The 25,125-nt window shown below is 42.7% G+C and overlaps 1 long non-coding RNA gene across 2 annotated transcripts in view; it reads left to right on the plus strand.

Annotated features, from left to right (window-relative positions):
- The window catches only part of LINC02099 (long intergenic non-protein coding RNA 2099), a 50,184-nt gene extending 38,445 nt beyond the window's left edge, over window positions 1-11,739 (plus strand). Inside the window, exons 2-4 of one of the 2 annotated variants that reach the window (NR_125815.1) lie at window positions 3,579-3,694; window positions 4,342-5,128; window positions 10,082-11,739. This is a non-coding gene — a long non-coding RNA (long intergenic non-protein coding RNA 2099). The remainder of the gene's footprint in view (window positions 1-3,578; window positions 3,695-4,341; window positions 5,129-10,081) is intronic. The other variant, NR_125814.1, reaches the window with a different exon arrangement.
- The last annotated feature ends 13,386 nt before the right edge of the window (window positions 11,740-25,125 follow it).

Here is a 25,125-nt window from a genome sequence, read left to right on the forward strand (position 1 = left end):
CTCATTTTTGCTCACCATTATATTCATAGTACTAATCACTGTGCCTAGCACATACTAATATGCAATAAAAATGTGTCCAATGAATTATCATTCATTGTAATTGTATCAATTAGGCAATCAATAAATTATGTTTTCTTAGATTTCTTCCTGTTTTAATATTCATATATATATATAGCATATTAAATGACTGATATAGTTTAGATATTTGTCCCTGCCAAATCTCATGTTGAATCATAATCCCCAGTGCTGGAGGTGGGGCTTGGTGGGAGGTGTTCGGATCATAGGCACAGATCCCTCATGGCTTGGTGCTGTCTTTCTGTTAGTGGGTTATTGCGAGAACTGGTTGTTTAAAGATGTGGGATACCTCCCTCCCAACTCTCTCTCGCTGGTTCTTGCTTTTGTTATGTGATGTGCCTATTCCTGTTTTGCCTTCCACCATGATTAAAAACTCCCTGAGGCTTCACTAGAAGCTGAACAGATGCTGGCATCATACTTCCAATAAAGCCTGCAGAACCGTGAGCCAATTAAACCTCTTCTTTTTTAATAAATGACCCAGTCTCAGGTGTTTCTTTACAGCGATGCAGGAATGGCCTAATACAGTGACCTGTTGTCTGAAGCAGTTTTTCCTTCTTTTTGCACTCAGTTTACTCCATCCAAGATTCAAATTGTTTCCTTTTATGAAAAGAATTTCAGGACAATTTGGTGAACAAGTCTATGTTCGTATTTTTTATTCAAGATGATTGAGGATTCATCCTGATATCTAAAAAAATGACAGCACATGTGCAAAAATGAGGATGCTAGAGAAGGTAGCTGTGAAATAGGAATGCTCCCTAGCAAGGTTTGTTAGCTGAAAGTAGGAGGGTAGGGTGCCAGAGCCTGATCTGTCTTTATTCAGCAGCTTGACCATGAGGAAATCACTTCCTTCCCTGGTCCTTGGTGTGTTCATCTGGGAAATTAAAACATTGTTCTAAATAAGGAGGCCTCTGCCTTCACCACATGACATGATTTATGAGAATGGCCATCCTACTGCCTGCCATTTCCATGTGAAACCAGAATTCTCACTGTGGGGAGAAGGTCTTTCAGAGCAAAGCTTTTCCTTCTCCATGGCTATATTTTTTTCTGGTAGTTCTTAATCTGCTACTTACAATGGGAATGTACCAAGAAAAATTGCACTTAGTCTCTGTAGAGTTCACCTTTATCATTCTGCCTAATACTCAGCCTTCCATGATGAGGAGGGAGAAGACGGTGTCTCATCTGCCAATAACCCATTTCTAGAAATGATGTAAGTCAGAATAGCAGGTGCTGTATTCTGGTGTGCACTGTAAAAGGAGAGCCTCAGGGTCAGGAGCCAGGACGCGTGTCCCAGGTCCTCCACTTCCTGGCTATGAGCTTTGGACATGGCCACTCAACTTCTGTGAGTCTCAGGTCTTTAACTAATAAAATATATATCTAACTGGGTTACTTCACAGAGAGGTCATGAGAACCATATAGGACAGCATTTAAGAAAACAATCTGAAAACATTAGGATGCAGTAAACATGGGCTTTCAAATGCCCGAAAGATGTCTCAAGGAAAAAAGGCATATAGAGTCACAATAATGCCAATATCATGTAAATTACACTTCCAGCAGTCATTTGGTGCCAACTCCTAGGCGCCTCCTTCTCCACAGACCAAGGTCACAGCATTCCAAAAACCGTATCCCCCTCTAAGTGATCCTCTGAGAATTTCAGGACTATTTAGTGAAGAAATCACTGTTCACCTTGCAGGACGAGAAACGATTGAGACTGTCATATTTAGAAAAATGATAGCATCATAAACAAGTAGACATCAATAACAAATGGATAAAAGCATGTTCAAGATATTCTAATTCAAAGTATTATGTAGACTGAAAAACAATAGTATTTACCCAAGAAAATGTACTTGTTGCTGTGGTTCAGTAATAACTTTTTTTTAGCACTATCTGAGACCAATTTCTCTGAACCAGCTTGTGGTCAGTAGAATGAAAATCCTTACGTATAATGTTGATTGATTTTCAGTAATGGTGCCAAGACCATCAATGGGGAATGGACAGCATCTTCAATGAATGGTGCTGAGAAAACTGGATATCTACCTGCTAAAGAACCAACTGGGTCCTTACCTTATCTTACCTTACCTTATACTATATGTACAAATCAATTCAAATGGAATAAAGACATAAAACTATAAAGCTCCTAGAAGAAAACATAGGGCAAGAGCTTTATAACATTGCATTTGTCAATGATTTCTTGGATATGACACCAAAAGCACAAGCAACAAAAGAAAAAATAGATAAACTGAACTTCACTGAAATTGAAGACTTTGTGCCCTAAAGGACCCTTGCAAGAGAGTGAAAAGGCAACCCAAAGAATGGGAGAAAGTATTTGCAAATAACTTTATCTGGTAAGGAATTAATATCTAGAATATATAAAGAGGTCCTATAATTAAAACAAATGAGCAGCCCAGTTCAAACCTGGTCAAAGGCTCTGAATAGATATTCCTCCAAAGAAGATATACAAATGGCTAATAAGTACCAAAAGATGTGCAATGTCACTAGCCACTAGGGACATGCAAATCAAAACCACAACAAGATACGATTTCACACTTATAGGATTGCCATTACCAAAAAACAAAAAATTTAAAAAAAAAACATATTGGTAAGGATGTAAAGACATTGGAAGCTTTGTACATTTCTGATGGGAAGGTAAAATGGTGCAGTCACTGTGAAAACACTTTGGTAGTTCCCCAAAAAATTAAACAGAATTACTATATGATCCAGCAGTTTCACTCGTAGGTATATATCCAAAAGAAATGAAGAGAGAGAATCAAACAGACGCCAATATTCACAGCAGTATTATTCACCATAGCCAAAATGTGGAAACAACTCAGATGTCCACCAACAGATGACTGAATAAACAGAATATGGTATATACATAGAATGGAATATTATTCAAGCCTAAAAAGGAATAAAGTTCTGACACATGCTACTACATGAATGAACCACAAACATTATGCTAAGTGAAATAAGCCAGATATAAAAGGACAAATATTATATGAATCTACTTACATGAGGTACCTAGAACGGGCGAATCCATATAGACAGAGGGTCGAATAGAGATTACCAGGGGCTGGAGGGAGGAAGGAATGGGGGTTAATGTTCAATAGGTGCAGAGTTTCTGTTTGGGATGATTAAAAGTTCTGGAGATAGATGACTATGACGTTTGCACAAAAATGTAAATGTACTCAATGTCATTGAATTGTACACTTAAAAGTGTTTAAAATGGTAAATGTTATGTATATTTTACCACAAGAAATAAAATATAGACTGGAGGTCCTCATGTCATGGAAAATTGTTTTTCTGTCACTTAGTATGTAAAGTGGATGTGTTCTATTTACTGAAGAGTCTTCGAGATCAGGGAGGAAAGACAGAATTCATAGAAAAGAGACAGCACCTGAATTTTCCAGTGCCCCCTGCAGCCCTTACTCATGCTCATCAATCTAAGGTTTTCTGCAATCAATTTTCTTCTTTCCCCCTTTCAAATGCTTTTCATGATGGCAAATAAGGATGTCAAGCTTCAGCACCCTTGCATCTCTGGATAAATGAAATGTCACCCCAGCTGCCGTCCTTGTTCAGATCTGTGCAATAAAGAGCAAAGCATAAAACCAAGTCAAGGCTTTGAGTAAGTCTGGGGAAATAAAAGACACCAGTCCTTAGGGGCTGGAGGAGGGGAAACAGCCGAGAGAGGGGGGCGGGAGGGGAAGCAAGAAGTCGTCCAGATGATGAAAGCGTTTTATAACTTGATGTGAAATGTCCAGATGGTGGTAGTTACATGTATGTTTACTTGAGGATTATTTATAACATACACTTGTATGTAATATTTTGAATGTGTCCTAGAGCTTGTGAAAAAATTGCCTTTAAAACGTATAATTAACAAGATTGTTGACAAACTGAGTGTAATAAATGAGGAAGACAAACTCATTGAGGAAGTTCCCAATCTTCCTGTCTGGATGACTTTTCTGTCTCTCAAAACTGCTGCCTGTTAACTTGCTCTTAGCAGTTAGTTCTTCACAATGGAAATGACATCAGTTCAAAGTGTTAGTCTTTACCTTTCACTCAATCTAACTTATCTCAGTGCAGTCCCTAGGGAAAGGATGAACCCTAAACTAAGAGCCAAAATATTACTGAAGTGATAGACTTAAATTTCCTACTCTCACGACTGTTGGAGCAGAAAATTTCACAATACTTTGTAATAAAAGCAAAAAGTGTAAATCTTAAAAAAAAAAAAAAAAAGTACTCCAATAATGGCCTTTTCCCTCTGCCTTGCAGGGGAGTGACCTACAAAATGCATAATGTGAAACAATGCAAAAGCGAAAGGTGCAAAATCCCCATCAAAGAGCTGGAGGCTGACAGATGCGCCAGTGATAATTCCCATCTTCCAACACAGGAGCACAGCTTCCATTTTCCATAACAGAACAACAGCCAGAGCAGCTGGAAGGCAGGGCCGCATCCCAGACTTCCACCAACAATGGGATGAGACTTGACATCTGGAATCACAACCACAACAGACCTGAGAGACCCACCAGCTTGATGACAAGCTTCTTCTTTCAAAGAAAGGTATCAGTCTGGGGGACCTAGTGCTGCAAACCATGACAAATTAAGTGTGGCATCCCTCACTTGCATAATGGAACTCAGTGATATTTTTTAATTAACAAGAGTTATTTTTATGTAAGCTTCTCTCATTCCTCCACTGTGCGTGCTCGGGGGCTGGTGGTGAGGAAAAAGAAAACAGCTGTGCGGGAAGCATCAAGAAAAGGCAAGTCATGAAGTCTTAGAGATCAGTGACATGTAAGAAAAAGAGTGAGGAGAAAAATATTCCTACTAAAGTTTTCCATTTGTTTACCTTCCTTGTCACATAGACTTCCAAGAGTTAGAAGTCTAGGATTTGATCTCCAAATCTTCCTGGCAGATTACTCATCTTCATTTCATTCATATAGTCCAGGGGTTTGTACAAAGGAAGATGCCAGTTCTTCCCCAATCATAACTAAGATATCAAGAGATATTCTTTTGAAATGTAACAAAGGAGATCTGAAGTTCATCTGAAAAAAATAAATGGGTAAGTATACTGACAAATATTTTGGCAAAATAAAAGTAATGAGGAGATACTAGCATTAGCCTCATCAGGCATTAAAATATATTATAAAGTTATAATATGTAAAACAGCATGGGACTGGCACTGAAACTGACAGTTCAACTGAAGAGAATAGACAAGTTAGAAGTAAGTCTTGATGTATGTAAGAATTTAATAAATTTGAAAGATGGTAAGGAAAGATAGGATTGCTTAAAAAATGGTTTTGGTGCAATTGATTAACTTTTCATAAACTGGGTCAGCTCTTACTAGATATTGCTCTGAGACACTCACCCACCCCAAGTGTCCCCCAGCTCTCTGAGCTTCCCAGCTATATGACATCAGAGCTCAGGAAACTCTGGTCCTCTCCATCCTGGTCTCCCACCATTTTCTCTGCAGCCCCCAATCTTCCTGAGATCACAGCTCCCATGGGCACCATTACCCTCTACTGCCAGCATCACTCTTGGGCAAGGAAAACTCCACCCTCCCATGAGCTTCTTACGACAAAGTGTGGTCACAGGCCTCCATAACTCCCATAGAACACCCGAGATCAGGAAATCTGCAAGTATCTGGGATGTCTTTATTATAGTCAGTGGTTGCCAGAGGTTAGTGGGGAGGGAGGGATGAATAAGCAGAGCATAGAGGAATTTTAGGGCAGTTGAAACTACCCTGTATGATACTATAACGGTGACTATATGACATTTTATATAGTCCAAACCCATAGATTATATTGTTAAAGAAGAAATTATTCTGCCACTTGTTAAAACAATAATGAAGATTTTATTCAGGACTATTACGATGGGTGTTGAAACTTACTACAACAGGCTAGAGAATTCAGGCTCAATTCCAATATAACAAAGACAGCTGAGGACTCATAGCCCATGAATAGAATGAGGGAATCAGTGGGTGGAAAATTCCTAAGAGGAGAAATCAAGAGCAGAGAGATTCTTGTTAAACCAACTTAGGGTTCTTGCTAAAGGCAAGCCAGGGTGACCAGATATCAAGAGTGGGGGAAGCAGAAATTGATCATACATCCAGAGTGATCAGATTTCAAAGATGTAGCGTTTCTCACTAAACTGACCGAGCAAGATTTTTTTTAGACAGAGTCTCCCTCTGTCACCCAGGTGGAAGTGCAGTGGTGTGATCTCAGCTCACTGCAACCTCTGCCTTCCGGGTTCAAGCGACTGTCCTTCCTCAGCCTTCAGATAGGTGGGATTACAGGTATGCACCACCATGCCTGGCTAATTTTTTCGTATTTTAGTAGAGACGGGGTTTCATCATGTGGCCCAGGGTGGTTGCAAACTCCTGAGCTCAGGCAATCCTCCTGCCTTGGCCTCCCAAAATGCTGGGATTACAGGCGTGAGCCACCGCGCCCAGCCACAAGATACTTACTGAGTGATGCAAGCCCAGCAAGGACAGGCCGGAGGCCCAGGTCGAGGCCTAGTCAAGAAGAGGACTCAGAGGAGCATAACAACAGCTTGGTCAAGGATCAGGAGTCTTTGTCAGTGTAACACCCAGAGTGAGCTGTAATGTAAACTATGGATTTTGGGTGAGAATGACATGTCAATGTAGGGTCATCAATTGTAACAAATGTCCCACTCTGGTGCAGAATGTCAATAGTGAAGGAGACTCTGCAGGTGTGCGGTCAGGATAACAGAACAGAACTCTGTATTTTCTGCTCAATTCTGCTATGGATCTAAAACTTCTCTAAAAATTAAAGTCCATTAAAATATTTTTAAATTAAATTGGTTTAAAAAAGGAAATGAAATTGGATCATTCCTGACTATGGCACAGGTAGCAAGACCAGCCCTATGCCCTTCCCTAGACAGGAAGTTTCAAGCCAGATCACTAGCTCTGGTGCCAATCGATCCCTAGAGATTTGATAATCTTTGCCATGCCCAATAGTAGGAGTGCTGGTTCTTTCATGCATGGCTCCCTGTTCTATCATCTCTCTCCACTTATCCTCTGTTCTGTTGAAAACACTTCGGATTGGCTACCCAAGAGCTACTCATAACCCCTTCCCGCTTGCTTTAATAAGGGTTATCGGGAAGGGATTTGGGGAATGTTTTTAAAGGCCACAGACTGAACCAGTAGACCCCCTTTAGCCTGTTGCCCTTTCTCCATTCATCTTGCCTAGAATGTGGATGTAATGTCCGTCTTGTGACTCTGAGGATGAAAGCCACAAGCCAAGGATAGCAGAGTACAAAGAGAGAAAGAGGCTGGGATATGGATGACATTGTGAACTCTGGACTGCCTATTTAGATATGTTTTGCCTGAGACGAATGGATACTTTATTGTTTAAGCCCTTTATAGTTGAGATTTTGTTACTTTCGGCCAAACATAATGCCAATTGTTATATTTTTCTACTCCCCAAATTAGCAGAAGGGGCAAATCAGCAAACCTACTGCATAAATATCCAAGTGGGATGCTGGGATCCCTAATTTTTTAATGTGGTTTTTAGTGGGAAAGCATTATTTATCTCCACAGCACAGCACTTCCTGCTAGGTGAAAACTTGTACTTGCAATGATTCTCTCTTCCTGCTTCCAGGGTTCTGCTTTTATAGATAGGGAGTAGTGGGAGAGGATATTAATTGTGATAGGACTTATGCTATTTCTACCTCATTAACAATTTTTAAAATATTTAAGAATGTGGGATATTGCATCTGAAAAAGACTATCGACTAAACATGGTTTAGACTAGTGATGGTTTGTGGGTCTAGAAGTAATTTTTTAACATAAAAATCAGTTCACCTCTCTACTCCTCTACCTTCTGTGGAAGATTGTATTACATCTTTGCCCCATGGATATTGGGCTTGGTCAAATGACTTGCTTAGACCAACGGATGTGAGCAGAGGTTTTCAGCGTGCTTGCTGGTTTGGCGGCTTTCCCTCTTGTCTTTCTGCTATCTGCCATTAGCAGAGCATGCTCTGGCAGCTTCCATCTCAGAATGCAGAGGCAGTTGAAGCCATCAGGAACCCAATCTTCAGCTTGAAGCAGAGCCTCCACAATTGACCCACAGAACCATAAGCGAAAAATAAAGTTGGTTCTTGTAAACCATTGAAAATTGGGATTGCTTGTTATGCAGCATTAGGCAATAATAGTTGACTAATACACTTCCAATGTCTTTCAGCTCATTCTGAGGAGAAAGTCAAAGTTTACAGAGTGATTCAAAAGAATCCTCATATTCTGGCTCCATTTACCTCTCTGACTTCATCTTCAACTACTTTTTTCCCTTCTTACTCTGCTCCAAATACACCATCCTCCTTCTTCCTCCTCTAACATGCCAGATGTGTTTCTGCCTTGGGACTTTGCACTTGCTGTTTCTCCTGCATAGAACACTTCCTCCAAATTCCTGCATGGCTTATTTGTTAATTTTCCTGTGATTTCCCTTTCTTTAAGAAAGTCATCTCAGTGAGAAGTTATCTAACCATCTGACTGTAAACTGCATTTCCCAGTACTCAGTAGCCCCTTCTTTGATTTACTTTTCTATTTAGCACCAATCATCATTTATCCATTCTCTTCCCACCACCCCACTACAGGACAGGGACTTTATTTTATTCACAGCAGTATTCCCAGGGTCTAGTCAGAGCAGTGTCTGGCACATGGTAGGCACCTGTTGATTATTCATAAATGAACAAAGGGATAAAGGAACAAATTAAAAATCTCAACATAAAAATTTATAAATAATTCCTAAATTATTTAATAAAATATTACATTTTTCTTTAATAAATAAAAACAATACACAAATGACATTTCATAAAAAATCAATGGTTAGAAAAAGAAATATAGGTGCTCTTGTTTGTAATCAAAGAATCAGGAATTAATGTTACAGAGAGGTATTCCATCTCCTTTCAAATTGGCAAATGTTTTAAAGAATTATAATACTCATGATGGCAGTAATTCTCTTTGTCTGGCATGGGTAATCTCACAGACTGTGGGTGGAGATATGTAGAGATTCATCCTCTTGGGAAAGCAATCAAATGCCTTTACATCTTTATACCTTTACATCATCGGTCCACTAATTTCCCTTCTAGAAATCCTTCCCAAAGAAGAAATCAGTGTTGGAGGCAAGAAATTACATATCAAAAAGTTTCTTACAATGTTATTCATAATAACACAAATTTAGAAAAAAATCTTATCAGTCAATAATAGAAGGATCATGACATGAATCATGGTGTATTTTTAGAAATTTCTTATGTTTTTTACTTTTTTGATCGATACATAATGCTTTTACATATTTATGAGGTACAAAGTATCACATGTACCCCATCAATATGTAAAAGTATTATGTATCAATTATGCATAGAATGTGTCATGATCAAGTCAGGGTATCTGCGTGTCCATCATCTTCAGTATTTATCACTTCTATGTGGGAACATTTCAAGTCCTCTCTTCTATTTTGAAATATACAATACATTGCACGTGCACCACTGAATTTAAAATAGAAGTTTTATAAAAACGAGAACAAAAATGCAGAGATGCCAGAGGCTTACATGAGGTCACTTTGCAGCACCAAAGCCCATTGTGATCCACTCCTGTTAACAGAGGTGGGGGGAGTAGATAAATGGGTGGGTGGGGAGTGTAAATGATAAAGCTGGGGCATAAGAGTGGGGAAACATAGGACACCCCCAAATAGCCATCTCATTTTTTCTGTTTCCCTCCATGCCAAAAAAGCACATTTTTACCTAATAAAGGAAGGTGGTATGGAGCAAGCGAATGTGACTGTCAGTCAAGCAAGCTTGATGCATCATTCCCCGCTTCCACACCTCCATGCCCCAACACAATCCCTGACCTTCCTCTGCCCACTGGAGCACCCCACCTGGACTGTGTGTGCCACAGTTCCCTTCATTAGCTCCCCCCACACACTAGCTTTCACATGGACACTCCCTGAGCAAGTAGCGCTGAGCTGAGCCCAGCCCTCTTCCTCCCCATTTCCGGTAAGTTTTAGGCGGTCATGACCATGGGATGCTGGACCAGGATGGTAAGCTTCAGGAAACAGAATCTGGAGAATGCCCAGCTGCTCCCACAGGAAGCATCAGGGAAGAAGAAGAAGAGGTGTGAAGTCTGCCTTCTGCTCTGCTGGGATCCCTTTCACATCTCCTTTGCCTCCAGGCAGTTTTGGTTCCTGGCCATTTCCAGGTGTGACTCACTCAGGATGGTAAGCATCTTCTCTCCTACCCAGAGTAGAGGATGAAGACCTCATCTCAGAGGTTGAAGGGAGCTCCAGAGAGAGGTCTCAAACTTCCAGCATTAACTGCTAAAGAAGCTTCATGAGCTGCTGGAGAACCTGGGAAATGACCAATTATAGGGACAGAGCTCAAATACTCTGGGACACTCTAGTAGCTGAGAAAGTTCCAACTCCAGGGTGATAGAGGACTGCCTGGCAAACCATCATCAAAGCAGAAGACCTGATACTAACATCACAGGCTATGGTTTATTACTGAAGATCAGTGCTTACACCCTGCCAGAGGTTCAGAAGCAAACTTATCATTGTTCTCCCTGGAGATGTTGGCCCACATTCTGAAAAGTGTGGTCAGTAGTAGCAACAGAAAGCAATTGTGCTTGCCAAGCACAATGTCACTGTCCCCAGCCCTTCCCCCAACACAACCCAGTAGGTGCTTCCTGGCTGCAAACTTGGGAAAGTCACTTGACCTGTCTGAGGTTCCACTTCCTAATCTGGCCTGGCGAAGATAAGAAAAACAGTTTATTTAAAGTGTCTAGCAAAGTGCTTGGACCAAAATAGGACCTCTGAAATGGTTATGGTAGTGCTGTTAAGGTGATGTTTTAAGTGCTGATGAGCACAAAGATGGGTAAGATATTCCTTCTGTTAAAATCTACAGTCTAATGAGAGAGAACAAGATGAATGCACAATAACTGTCATTCAGAACAGGATTATGAGAAGGTGTGAATTTCTGTGAAAAATCAGAACAGGGAGTAATATGATCCCAGGTGATTGGCAGGGGGTGGGGGTCTGGATTCAACTGGAGAGGGAGCTGGCAGGGAAGGCTTCCTGGAGGATGAGAGTTCAACAAGGGGCAGGTGTAGGATGTGGGTGGCCAAGTGACTGGGCAGAAGGAGCTGCAGAAGTAAGACCCCAAATCAGGAAGACAAGGGCCTGCTGAGAAACACGAGCTACAAAGTGCAAGTGCAGGAAGAGTTGGGATGAGATTAGAAGGGGGTCTGGGGCCAGACTGTGGAAGGCCCAAATGCCGGGCTAAGGAGTTTGTACTTAATTCAGTGGTCAACGGGGAGTCATTGGAGGCTGTTGAGCAGGAGAGTTGCTTTCTTTACAGCTGTGCCAGACTAAATTAAACCTAAACAGTACTTTATAGCTGGAAAGGGAAGGCCCAGGAATAGCTCTTGACTCAGAAACAGGCATTGGGGAAGGTAATGAGAAACAGCCGTGACTGATCAAAGCAGAGAGGTTAATTAAATTTGTAATTATTGTGAAAGGCCATTAAAAACCCTAGTTCACTAGAGATAACTGCTCTAGTGGGGCTTCAAAGACAAACGCTTCTTTTAACCTTGAATAGGGGGATGTTTGCTTCTCTGTGGAGGAGATATGATTAAGATACTTAATAAATGGTAGATAAACATGCACACGTGTGTGTTCTCTGTAAACCCACTCTTCGTCCCTGCATATATCTGTGTAGCTATGTAGGGTGCTCCACAAGAGGGGTCCCCAGCCCCCAGGCCATAGAGCGTTATGGGTCCATGACCTATTAGGAACCAGGCCACACAGCAGGAGTTGAGCAGAGGGCAAGCAAGCAAAGCTTCATCTGTATTTACAGTCGCTTCCCATTGCTCACATTACAGACTGAGCTACCCCTCCTGTCAGATCATCACCAAAGTGTATTTATTGGCACTTATAAATTACATGGTATAATTTTCGGTCCATCTCCTAAAGCCTAGCTGGTAAAAGAAGATGAATTAGGAAGCAATAAAGTGAAAAGATTTTAAGACGAATAAGGAAGCAATAAAGTGAAAATGAATACACACCAGATTTTATGGTCATGGTAGAGAGTTTCAAGAAGGGAAGAGCCAGGAAGTCTTCCTGGAGGAGACGTGAAATTCTGCTGCTGTAGCAGAAACCCAAATTCTAAAAAGCTTAAACACAACAGAAGTGATTAGTCCCATGTGTCTAAGAGTAAGCATCTAGGGATGATACAGTGTGGACCTTCTAGGGCAGCTCCATGCTGTTGGAGACTCCATCCCTTCCTGTGGTTCTCTGCCTTCCTAGTGTACAGATGTGCATCCACATAGTTCAGTGAGTCCACACCCTGTCCACATTCCCATCCCAGAAAGCGGCAAGGAAAGAGGATGCCCCTCCCTTTAAGAATATGATCCAGAAGTTGCACAAACTTGCTCATGAATGATCTTGTTTTGTTACTAGAGAAACTGGGACTTGTGGTCTTTGTTCTGGCCAATCATATTCCCAGCTAAAATTCTATCACCGTGGAAGAAGACAGAATGAATATTGGAGAATAACCAGCAATCTTGGCCATATACGTGAGGCTCAGCTGAGCCTTGAGCAATGGGTGGGAGTAGGGGTAGTGGCACAGGGCCAGTGATTTGGGGGTCAGGAGGGGAACAGAGGGCATCCCAAGCAGGCTGGACTACATGATAAAGAACTGGGAGGTCCATCCTACGCACAGTGAAGAAATGAACATATCAGAAATGGAAGCTGAAGTAAGGAATAAAACCAGAGATGTTCACTGGAGTCAGACAGATAATGAGCCTTGATGGTCCATCAAGATGGTTCTCAGGGAAAATGTGTCTAAGGAAAATGTGTTGGTCAGGACAGCAGAGGATGAATTAGATGGGTTAGTGATGGGAGTCAGGAAGAACCATTCGGAACTTCTTTCAACAATCTGCCCATAAATTGATAACAACTCTGCCCAGGACGGAAGCCCTGGATTGAGAGAATGGGTGGCGTGAGAGTGTTTCATGGAAGAATAACAGGGCTTCATTTCTGTTGGGCTATCGGAATGAAGGTGCCTGGGAAGCTGCCTCCCTGACATGCATTCTCTAGGGCTCCCCAAGTACCCAGGCATCCTTCCTGCCTGTGTTCACAGCACATGATACCAGCACCATATTCAACAACAAATATTTGTTCAACATAAGCTTCATGTGGGCACAAAGTTTGGCACATAGTAGATACTCAGCCAGTATTTGTCGAATAAATGGCTGGATGAATAAGTAACCAAAATGCAGGCACAGAACACACTGGGTACTGCACCCAGCAGAGGCCATTAAAATATTCCGGGGAAAGTCAGCTATCACATCTTTAGGATTTTACTCAGAAAAGAGACTTACACAAAGTGTTTTCTGCAAACTGTCATAACAACAGCAGCCATTTGTGACATCATGGAGTGAAGTGGGACATTATTCTCTGAGCCAAACAATTTCTTCAAATCAAACCCACAGAAGAAAAATGCAGATACCAGGTAAGCCTGGTTGTGTATATTCTCATATTATTTTCTCCTTTTAAATGCCCAGATTTCCTGAACTGGCTAGATGTGGGTAGTTCCAATGCGACCGTTATTCCTGGGGCTTTCTTACATACTCCAACTTCCATTCTGTGAATGAATCCAAAGAAGGTTGCCTTGACAACCATTCACCTCTCTCTCGTCAAGCACCCTGAACAGCCTCAAGTGCTTCATTGAGATAAAAGCCCGCAGAGCACCCAGACTCAGGACCTCTCATGACGCACAGCAGCTGAGAGTCTAACCTGGGATGTGCTGCTGTAGATAAAAGTCCCGAAACGCTTCCTTTCCATCACCTTTCCTGTCAGCTACCGCAGCCATTCCCACTGACAGGTGAGCACTAGATGCAATTCTGCCAAAGAGAAGCCACATTAAGAGGCTCTTTGGCAATGGGCCCATGAATTGTTTGTTCCAGATAACTATGACATTGTGCGATTAGGTAACAGACTCATCAAATCCTTTCTATGCCACTTAGCCTGGGCAGTATCTTGTTCCAGCAGTGAGAGGTCTGTTATTTCACAAGTCCCTGGATGTTTTTTTCTGGGCTTCAGTAGAAGGGTAGGAGTCCCATGACATCCTATGAATCCAAGATTTTAATATCTAAAACACCAGAAGAAAAAGCCTCAAACCCAGCCCCAATTTTACATTTTCATAATATGAACCCAAGCAACATCTATAGATTTATTAAAATAATTAAGCCAGAATAAAATGGACCAAAATATATTCTCTGAACCAAACCAACATTTTGTTCTATTCAAATATTCCAAAGAGCTGAAAGATGGAGTCATATGGTAAACACTGCCAAAATTTCCTAGAATGGGGATATTGCTTTCAAGCAGCATTGAATTTGGAGGTGAATGTTTTAAGATATTATTATGAAGCCATTTATTCTGCAATTAGTATATAGCAAGCCCAGTACCCGGTACTTATCATGCATAACTTTGTTGAATTCTCATAGTTGACAGTTTGTCTTATTAGCCCCATATTATAGATGAAGAAATGCTTAGCAAGCCTGTGTAGACTTCTCAAGGTCATACAGCCAACCAAACACAGATTTTAGCCCAAGAGTATGATCTTACTCTCACATCCATGCCCTTGTAGGTGAAAGAGAGAAAGGAAGAGGAGGAGGAGGAGGAGGAGGTAGAGGAGAGGAAGAAGAAGAAGAAGAAAAAAGGAGGGAGGGAGGGAGGAAGGGAGGCAGGGGAGGCAGAGGAGGCAGAGGAGGCAGAGGAGGCAGAGGAGGCAGAAATGGGGAAAGAGAAAGGAAGAAGAAAAGGAAAGGAAATAGGGAGGGAAAAATTGGGGTAGGGTGAAAATAAAGCCAGAATCCCGTCTTGAAATCTAAATTGCTTGTCTTAGTGAGGCAATGATCTGGCTAATTTGAAAGTAAGAAGTACATATCTGGCCCCCTATCGGCATGGGTGGTTTGAGAATAAAGAGAAGGACCTGAATGTCAAAGACAGACAGGCTTTGACTGGAGGCTGTCAAAACTTGTATTTGAAGGAATACAGTTGTCTTGTATTCCTTCTTGTATTCTCTCCAGCCAGGGTTCTAGCCTTTAGGATGCCACTGGGTTAAGTCTCACCCAGAATGCTGCCCTGCCTTCTGATGTCCTAATCCAAAGTGCATTTAATTCTTACCTTTGAGAGGATTGTGGGAAAGGTACTAAATCCTATGGTTCCAAGGGTGATCTTATACATTTTAGATAGCAAATAGCATTTAAGGTAGAGCACAAGCCATTTTACATTCTAGAATCAAACCCCATGCCAGAATGTCAGTCCTTGACAGTGGTAGCAAGTACCTCAAATGTGATATGTATATTAAAGATTTTATTTTCTTTTAAAAAATTATTTCATTTTTATTGAGACAGGGTCCTTATTATGTTCCCCAGTCTGGTCTCAACCTCCTGGGCTCAAGTGATCTTCCCACCTTGGCCTCCCAAAATGCTAGGATTCCAGGCATGAGCCACTATGCCCAGCCAGATTTGAATTTTCAATTTAGCTCCGACTTATTTAGACTGAAAAGACACAGTATATGTGGGCTGATAGGAGGATGAAGTGGGCAGGATACATATGCTTTTATACTTATAGCTTGTAAGACATAAGTATTTTTGCAGCTAGGTCTTACAGTAGAAAGTTCTAGGAGGTGTTAGAGGCAGGTGGACAAAAAAAATTTCAACATTAAACAGAATATGTGAACGTAGACCAACTCTCATTCAGAATTACAGGTCTGGGGACCTTACAAATTGATTTGTCCTCGTGGGATGCTTAGATAAAAGCTAAAATTGTTCTTATTCCCCACCTTACAAAATGAAACCAAGAAAGGAGATTGAATACTTTTTAATGGTGAAATTTACCGGAATACCTAATTGCTTGAAAAATATTGAGAGATTTGCAACTGGAGGAGAGTCTGAAGTGAACTTAGTGATAAATCAGAGAGTAGGAAGCATAAACACACAAGCACAGATGAAACACCCAAGGTAATAATTAACTCAAGAGAAACAGAGAAATTATGCAGCAAAAGAAAGTAATCATAGTTTACTACATGTCATTTGTATAGAACATCTACATATCTGTAAAATGCAAACAATGACTATTGTATCCAAAATTACAATATAACCATATTGCAATAATGGGAGGTCCAGAAAGTGTGTGGGTGTGTATGTATGTTTGGTGTGTGTGTAGTGTGTTTGGGGTGTGGGGGGGGGGGGCTGTGTGTGTTTTCATGGTGTGTGCTGGGGGGTGTGTTCATGGGGTGTGTTTGTGGAGTTTGTGAGGAGTGTGTTGTGTGTGTGTATGTCTGTGTCTTGGTGGCAAGAAGTAAAAGGGAACTAGATCCTCACTTTACAGAGCAAGAAATCCTAATAGCAAGACAAGCACATTATATAAAGATATGAAGGTTAATGCCAAAAAAATGCACTAAAAGAGTTAAAAATGGCTGCCTCTGGGGAACAGAAAATTTGAGGAGAGTAGGGACTGGAGTTTTTACAATCTGATTTTTTAAATTATGTGCATGTGTAACTTTGATAGAAGAAAAATCTTTTTTAAAATGATGCACCTATGATGATGCTATACACAATTTAGAGGTCAATAAACATGAGCTATTCTTATTAACCATGGAATGTTACCATCTTTAAAATGGGCCAGTGACAACAGACTCCATGCCTCTCCATATGACAACCTCATGACGGAGCTTTCTAGAGCCCAGATCCTCAGAGAGCACCTCCTGTCTGCCACACTCCATGCTAGGCCCTGAGATGCAGCAGTGAACATTCAGACCCAGCTTTGCCTGTCCCCGGGTTCATTCTAGTGGGGATGACACAAGCATCACCTGCATTTAGGACAAGCACTGGGGGTGTTGGGTTTTTTTTTTTAATGCAATTTGGGAGGTGAGCACTTGGTTCGGTGTATTTGGATTTTTGGCACCAAATTCGGTTTTTGAGCCCTGACTCTCAACTCCTGTTGGCTGGTGCTGACAAGGCAACTAGCTTGGCTTGGTTTCGTAAGTTCTTGGCGACGGTAATCAGGACAGGTGCTGTGCTCTTAAGCCAGCTGTGGTTAATCAAAGAGAAGTCCAATCAGGGTGCACAAAATGCTGGAGTATATAGGCCCACTGTGGCCAGGTCGTCCAGTGCTCATGTTTAAAGAGGAGACCAGACTAGGGATAGGAATCTGACCTGCAGCTCACCCAAGGTGGCACCGATCAACAGTTCAGAGCGGAAACTCCGACCTTCTGATTGCTTTACACATCACTGAGCTGTTTAGAAGGCCCTTCACATTTTGGGTGAATGAACGGATTTGAGCAATCACACTTCAAAGTTGCTTTTTCCATCTAGGCCCTTGAACTGACATTCCAGAGACCAAAGCAAAATGTTGAAAAGCTGCTCCCCGAGTCCCTGGGAACCTCTCCACATCCCCTGAGCTGTGTCAAGCCTCAGACTGTGACAGAGCATCTCCCAGAGCCCCATGCAGTGATTCACAGAAGCGGTGGGTGGCTAGAGAAGCCAGCAGGAATTTAAAAAGACCTAAGGTACTCACGTAGGAATGAGCCTATAAATTCCTCCCCCATCACCGTTGCCAAGGCAATGCAGGTGGGCCCGGAGCCAGCTCTCAGGCAGGAAAATCCCCACCTCCTCCCTCTACACACATTTGCCCTGGCTACATGTGGCTTTTTATGACAGCTTTGCTTCAGCTACTCCTCCTGCAGAAGGCGGCTTATTTTATCCAGATGCCAGCTAGGTTGCAATATTCCGAGAGCATGGAAGAGCCCACAGTGTGATTTTCTCTGAGCTTTGACCTCTCCCTTAGAGATAAGCCCACCTCAAGCCCCTGTTCTTCGAAACTCAGAGATACCCAGCACTTCAACTCTTGGATTGCAGCCTCCCCTCTGCTCCCCTGCCTTCCTTCATAGCCACGTGTTCAGACCTTCCCGATTCATCGACCATATTACAGCCTGAGGACCTCCTCATGGCAACCTGCCCTCCAATCTATGTCACCCACCAAAGCTGACATGCAAACCACAGGTGTTGGAGTCTACACCTGTTTTTGGAAGAGCAGTGTGGCCACAATCGTAAGGGAAAGACAAAGCCAGCTGTGTTTTGACCTCAAGGACTCTGTTTCTGCTCCCAGCAGGGCCAAGGGTGAGAAAGAAAAGGGTCAGCCACATTTTGACTCCATTTCTGTTTCTTTTCCCCAGAGGATTTTGTGATGTCTTTCGAATTCCCCTCCCCTGTGCTGCTGCACACAGAGACACCTTTTTATTCCTAGCCCAGCTGCTGCTATTCGTGATGACAGCCTTGCCATATGGCACCACTCACTCAGCTCCATCAAGCAGCATCAAGCTCATCTTAATAGTATTTACCCCACACTTCTCTGGCAGTCAAACTCAGCTGCACCCAGAGCTGTCCTATGGGTGTGCCCATCCACTGTACTCCATTGAGAATACTTACACGTGTGTATGGATGAAGCTAGATGTGTTACAGCTTCGTCTGGGCTGGGTGCTTTTTATTTTTTAATTGGTGTTTGTTCGTTTGTTTTGAGACAGTCTCTGTCTGTTGCCCAGGCTGGAGTGCAGTGGCATGGTATCAGCTCACTGCAGCCTCCGCCTCCCAGGTTCAAGCGATTCTCCTGCCTCAGCCTCCCAAGTAGCTGGGATTACAGGCACGTGCCACCATGCCCGGCTAATTTTTGGATTTTAGTAGAGACGGGGTTTCACCATGTTGGCCAGGCTGGTCTTGAACCCCTGACCTCAGGTGATCTACCTGCCTCAGCCTCCCAAAGTGCTGAGATTACAGGCCTGAGCCACCATGCCCAGCTTCAGCTTGGTGCTTGCTAAGATGAACCAAAACAGGCAATTAAGGACCAAAACAGGACAGAAGAAAGGTCCATTCTAAATGTTAACCCACTGTTGTCATTCACCAGACTGTTGATGCCTAATTAGTCGCCGATTGCATCAACTGATGGCAGCTGAGAGTCAAGGATGTCACTTGATCTAGAGATAATCTACTTATGCGCTGGAGAGTGGGTAGGGGTAAGCCCGAGTGAATGGGCACATGCACCAGATAGAGAGGCAGATGGAGCCCAAGCATCTGAGACAGTCATAAGTTTGGGGAGGGAACCTGAAGACGAGCACATGTGCCACCTTATCCATCCATCTAGCACGGTAGTTTTGTCCCAAAAGAGCCTGGGCATTCTACTGCCATCCCCTCTCCCCTTCCCTGAATGCCACCATCTAGGTAAACCCAGGGAAGTGTTTTGTTCTTAAGCCTATCCTCTGAGGAAGTAGGGACACGTTTGTGTGACCTGAAATCAATAGGGCCCATGGTGACCCTGTTTCCACCCAACTGTGGAAGCCCCCTGCCACATTAAGAAATGGAGTGAGCTAGAAATCACAGAAAGATCTAGGAAGCTAAAGACCATGAATACACTTTCAAAGCTTGTTTGAGCATTTCTTTTTTTCTTTTTCAGTATTTGAAGGATGAGGCTTATAAACTACTGAAATAAAATGTCATTGTCTAAGATACAGCAATTGACATATGTAAGTCAGCATATACAAATGAAATAGATCACTATGAATACTACTTTAAATGCTTTGCTTTTTAGGCCACATGGGGTTTTCAGGGGTGTGTTGAGGCAGACTCTAACCTCTGTCTCTAACCTCTGCAAGACGTGGGAACCCTTTCTGGAGCTGTCTCAACTGTGGTGTCTTCAGTCAGGAAGTGGGGATGACATCACCACATCTTAAATGTGGGCAGATTAAATAAGATGATGGGTATGAAGCCTAGCACATCACAGGTGCTCAATGCATGTTGGTTCTCTCCTCCTTACCTCCTTTCTCCTCCAAATCATAGACTTGATGTGTCGGCATCAGCACAGCCCTAGAACAATGAAAAAAATACAAAGAACAACAAGAACCTATTCAGTGTTTTTCACCTTGAATGATGTGAGTGGAAGACAAGGGAGACTGACATGTTAGTGAGAGAAATAAGATGGATGGACACTAAATGACGCCTGTTTGGACTGACAGTAGCCCATTCACACATTTCTCCAAAAAGGACTGATTATATTAGATGTGCAGCTCTTCTATCCCCTTTTCAAAAGAAAAAAAAAGAAAGGCTTAACAATTCTAGAGAGAGGCTATCAAAATCTGCCTTTACTGCTTATTTTCATGATCTCATGCATATTCCTCATCGTCCAGTATTATTTTATACAGATATAAATGTCTGGCTCCAACTATCAAAACAAGCCTGCTACCACTTGGGGGTTAAAACATGCAGGCTCTGGGCTCTCTGCAGAAAGGACTTTTTAAAAATTGTCAGATGCTTCCGTGAGGCAGGGCTGTGCGTGCCTGTGTGGTCTGAGCAGGCTGGCAATAGGAGGGCTCCCCTTCACAGAAACCCCCAGAGCGCAATCTTGGGGGACACATCGGGAGGCAGCCAGGCATGGGGATTTTCCAGCCTGCCTTCCCCGCCCTGCCTGTGACAACTCAGCTCATGCATCAGGCAGCGAATCCCATTCACGAAGCTGTCAGTGACTGCTGAATTCATTGAGAGACTCGGAACCCATCTCGCCGAGGTTCAACTGTGGGTTAATCCCAGCTAACCTAAATCATTGTTCCCTGAACACAAAGGAATGTGGAATTCTGTGCTGGGGCTGTGTGTCAGCACGGCTTCCTTGCTAGGTAGAAATATATTCAGCCTCAAGCGAGAGAGAATATATGAATATGTGAGTAGCTGGGCAGCTACGCTTCTCCCTCCAGCCAGAGGCTTCCATTTACTGCCGCCCCCAGGGCATCCAGAGGCATGGTTTGGACCACAAAATCCTGTTCTGTAAACAAATGAATCTCACAAGGGTCAGTTTTATTTTTTTCATGCTCCACTTCCAAAATCTACAACTGTAGGATGTTTGCTGTCTTCCCCTTCTACCATAAAGACAGCCACCAGTAGGGGAGGGTATGTGTAGGGGAGACATTGCTGTTTTGGGGCCATCCATTTAGAAAGCATTTGAGGTTACAGTGTCCCTTCATGAGGCACAACTCTGCAAGGACCAGTTCCATAGCATAGTGAGATTAATATGCATATTAGAATCTGTACATAATCTTCACACGCAGTAATTGCAGTCATAGGCTCTAGACATAAAGAAACATGCATTTTATAATAGTACTGGATCAATAAAAAAAACCCAGGAGTTAACATTTAGCTCACAAATTGAAGAAAATATTAAATTCATTGAGAAATAGGCAAACCATAAGGCTGTAAAATGGTCCATTATAGTCAGAAAACTCATCTGCATTGTGAGAGCGCTGAGTACAAGACCTCACCATAAATCTACAAAAGAAAGGCTACTCTTCCAGACTCAGAAGGAGAGAAGGGAACAAAAATCACATTAGCAATGTATATTGCTCCCAGATTACAAAATTAGGGTTTATAGGGAAAAATTCAGCCTGCAGTAATGGTCAGTAAAAATGACCGGTTTTATAGAACCGGAACTTGTAAAGATAAAGGAGAAAAGGCAGCAGGAAAAACATTAAAAAGACTCCCACAGAAACCTGTCCAGAAATAGAAATTCAGAGGACTTCCTGCCCTTTAATAAAATAAGCTCAATTGAGATGAAGCAGAATTATGGATGAAGCAAGGCAAATTATTTGATCAAACTAAGAAATTTTTTTTTAATAGTCATTCAGGAAAGAGCAAAAACCACTACAGTTATCTACCATGGATAGAGGTTGTTCAGAGCTGGTAAAGTAATTAAATCTGTCACCAGTCACCAGGCACGGTGGCTCATGTCTGTAATGCCAGCATTTTAGGAGGCTGAGGTGGGCAGATCACCCGAGGTCAGGAGTTTGAGACCAGCCTCGCCAGCATGGTGAAACTCCACCTCTACGAAAATACAAAAATTAGCTGAGCTTATTGGTGCATGCCTATAGTCCCAGCTACTCTGGAGGCTGAGGCATAAGAATCATTTGAACCCAGGAGGCGAAAGTTACAGTTTCGCCTTGATTGTATCAGCCTGGGCGATAGAGCGAGACTCCATCTCAACAAACAAACAAACAAACAAACAAAAACTGTTGCCAGAAGCTCACCAACTTGCATGCTGTGGCTTGTACCAATGGGTAGGTGCAGCTATGTAGCTAAGCTACACTTCAAGACTTCAACTGCAAATGTATGATAATAAATGGATTAAGCCAATAAAGTTTTATAAGTGCAAACCTAAGAATATATTCTTTAATGGCTGCTATGAAATATGCTGGAATAGGGCCAGAATATTAACACACATTCTGGCCAACACTTCAGACGTTTGGTTATTTAAGAGAAGTAATAGAGGCAGGGAGTTCCCCATCCGAGCTGTCTTCACTGCATTCACACCCACAGTCGTGAATGAAGGATCACTGTGAACCCAGCATTGCATCTAATGCTCCAGACACAAAGGTGGGAAGTTTCTTAAGATGCTCACAGTTAACTAGCACAAAAAAAAATTTTTTTTCAATCAATGCATGATGTGTAATAGGAGGCTGTGAGGGAAAGCAGGCTTGGGAATGACTTCTGTAAGAGGCTGGAAATCCTCTTTGCATCAAAGATAGCCATGTAGCCAAGCTATGGCCCTTAAGACAAAGTCAGAAATTTAGTTTTGTTTTAGGGGGTCTGGGATTGGGGGCTTCTTTGAAAGTTTTTTGTGATTTAAAAGGAATGACTTAACTGCTGCAAAACCCCCCCGCAGTCACTCTTTTTTTTTTTTTTCTATCTTTTCTCTTTTTGGCTTACGTAGAGATGTGAGCAGGCACCATAGCAGCTGTCTTGCAACCATGAGTAAAAGGCTAAGGAAATTGCAGAAATAACCCTGGCACCAGTATGTCTGCATTCTAATGTCACAGTAACCCCGACTGCTAAGCCAACACCAGTACCTGCCACCTACTGATGTCTTGTTATAGACAAGAAAAAAATCTACCCAGGTGTGTTTAGACCACAGTGGTTGGTGCAGCCAAATGCATTCCTAACTGACACATTTTCTAAGGAGTCTATCTCATGCTGTAACTCCACTAGTCAAATGTTGACACTGGTGCCTTATTGCTGATGAAGTCCAAACTTGTTTGCCTTTATTGTTAGTCTGACTTCTCCCTTCCTTTCAGCATTACCACCCCTGTTCCCAACATGAGACTCTCCAGTGGAGCCAGGATGGCCTCTTCCCTCTTGTTCCAGCTAGCAAATTAAATTTTCCTGCTGGAAACTCCTGTAGCCCTTGAAGAGTTGCACAATGATACACTTCTCTGTTTCCACCTGGTCCCCAGTGCTGAGCACTTTCTGAGGGCCAGAACTAGAGCACATGTTTACTTTTCCATGTCTCCCATGATAACTGGCATGCTACTGAGCACATCTGGGGAGACAGTAACAGAATGTCTGGCAGAAGCAAAGCTTAGCTAGATCTGCTCCAACCCCCTCCTTTTGATTGGACGGCCAAGACCCAAAAAGGTGAAGGGAACTCACTCAGGGTTACACAATGGAGTATTAATAGGCCCAGAATCACAACCCCAGGCTGCTGTCTCTTCGATGAGCATATTTTCCACTATACCTCACTGTCTAAAAGAAAAGTGCCAATTAGAGGCACACAAAGTAACAAAGCTGGTGATGACTATAATGGATGATTACGTCTTTTCAGAGGGCATGAAAAAGAGAGCTGAGTAGAGGCTGATGTGAAGGAGCTTCTTCAGTGTATAATTAACTGTTGGCTTCTTTGTATTGTTCCAGTAATGAACTCAGCAATGAGCTGCAGAACACCCTTGCCTGAAGGGGCAAGAATAGCAATGCCAGTCTTGTCGGAAGACTGCTTATGGGCTGGGGTCTTTGGCGAGCTCTGAGTCACTGGGTCCATTTCCCATTCACATGCATTTACGATGGAGCCTGACATGTACCTCAATGCCTCTCCTCTTTCTAACAGGCTGGGAACTGTGCTGTAAGCTGTTTTGTTGTTTGTTTTGAGACAGAGTTTTGCTCTTGTTTTCCAGGCTGGAGTGCAACGGCGCCATCTCAGTTCACTGCAACCTCTGCCTCCCAGGGTTCAAGTGATTCTCCTGCCTCAGCCTCCAAAGTAGCTGGGATTACAGGCGCCCGCCACCACACCCAGATAATTTTTTGTATTTGTAGTAGAGATGGGGTTTCACCACGGTGGCCAGGCTGGTCTCGAACTCCTGACCTCAGGTGATCCACCCACCTCACCCTTCCAAAGTGCTGGGATTATAGGCGTGAGCCACCATGACAGGCCCGCTCTGAGCTGTTTTGAGAAATGAAGCTTCAGAGATTATGAAAGACTGTGATCCCCAGAATGACTTGACTGGAGGCCCCTGAGAAGATGGAAGTTGTTGATTCACAGTCATAAAATCTTAGATTTTGGAGCCAGATGAAACCCTGGAGATGACCTAGTCCAATCTCTTTATTTTAAGATGGAAAAACTGAAGCCCAGAGACAGAAAGTGACTAGCCTGCAGTCACACAGCCAGGAGTGACAGAACTGTCAGATGCTGTGTTCCTCTGCTGCTTCCTGGATACACACACTGCTGGACACACCTCCCAGGCCTTGGCTCTCTGACGCCAGAGTGTCAAATGTCTTCCAGAGCCCCCTGAAGTGTCATGCTGCTTACTGGAAAGATACGTGGATTGCTACCTAACAAGAAATGAGGCAAAGCCATTTTTTTCCTCCCCAGCTAATCAATAACTGGACACAGGGGCCTCCCTTTCTTGAAACATGATCTAAAATACAACATAGGGTGAGTGAGGGATTTGGCAAGACTGCCAGTCCCTTTTGTTTAAACACAGAAGCCAGACAGATCAATGGATAGGGTGAACTACGTTGTATGATGTCGTTTGTCTTAATATCCAATATGAGGCTTTAAAACTAAGTTTGCAGAATCACAAAGAATAAGAACTAAAAGAGAAGAGGAAGCCAAGGAGCAGAGTCTGTCCAGAGTCAGATATCTCAACAGTGACAGAATCAGTATTAATAGTGAACGAA

This window comes from Homo sapiens, chromosome 8 (genome assembly GCF_000001405.40).
Source record: "Homo sapiens chromosome 8, GRCh38.p14 Primary Assembly".
Taxonomy (NCBI): domain Eukaryota; kingdom Metazoa; phylum Chordata; class Mammalia; order Primates; family Hominidae; genus Homo; species Homo sapiens.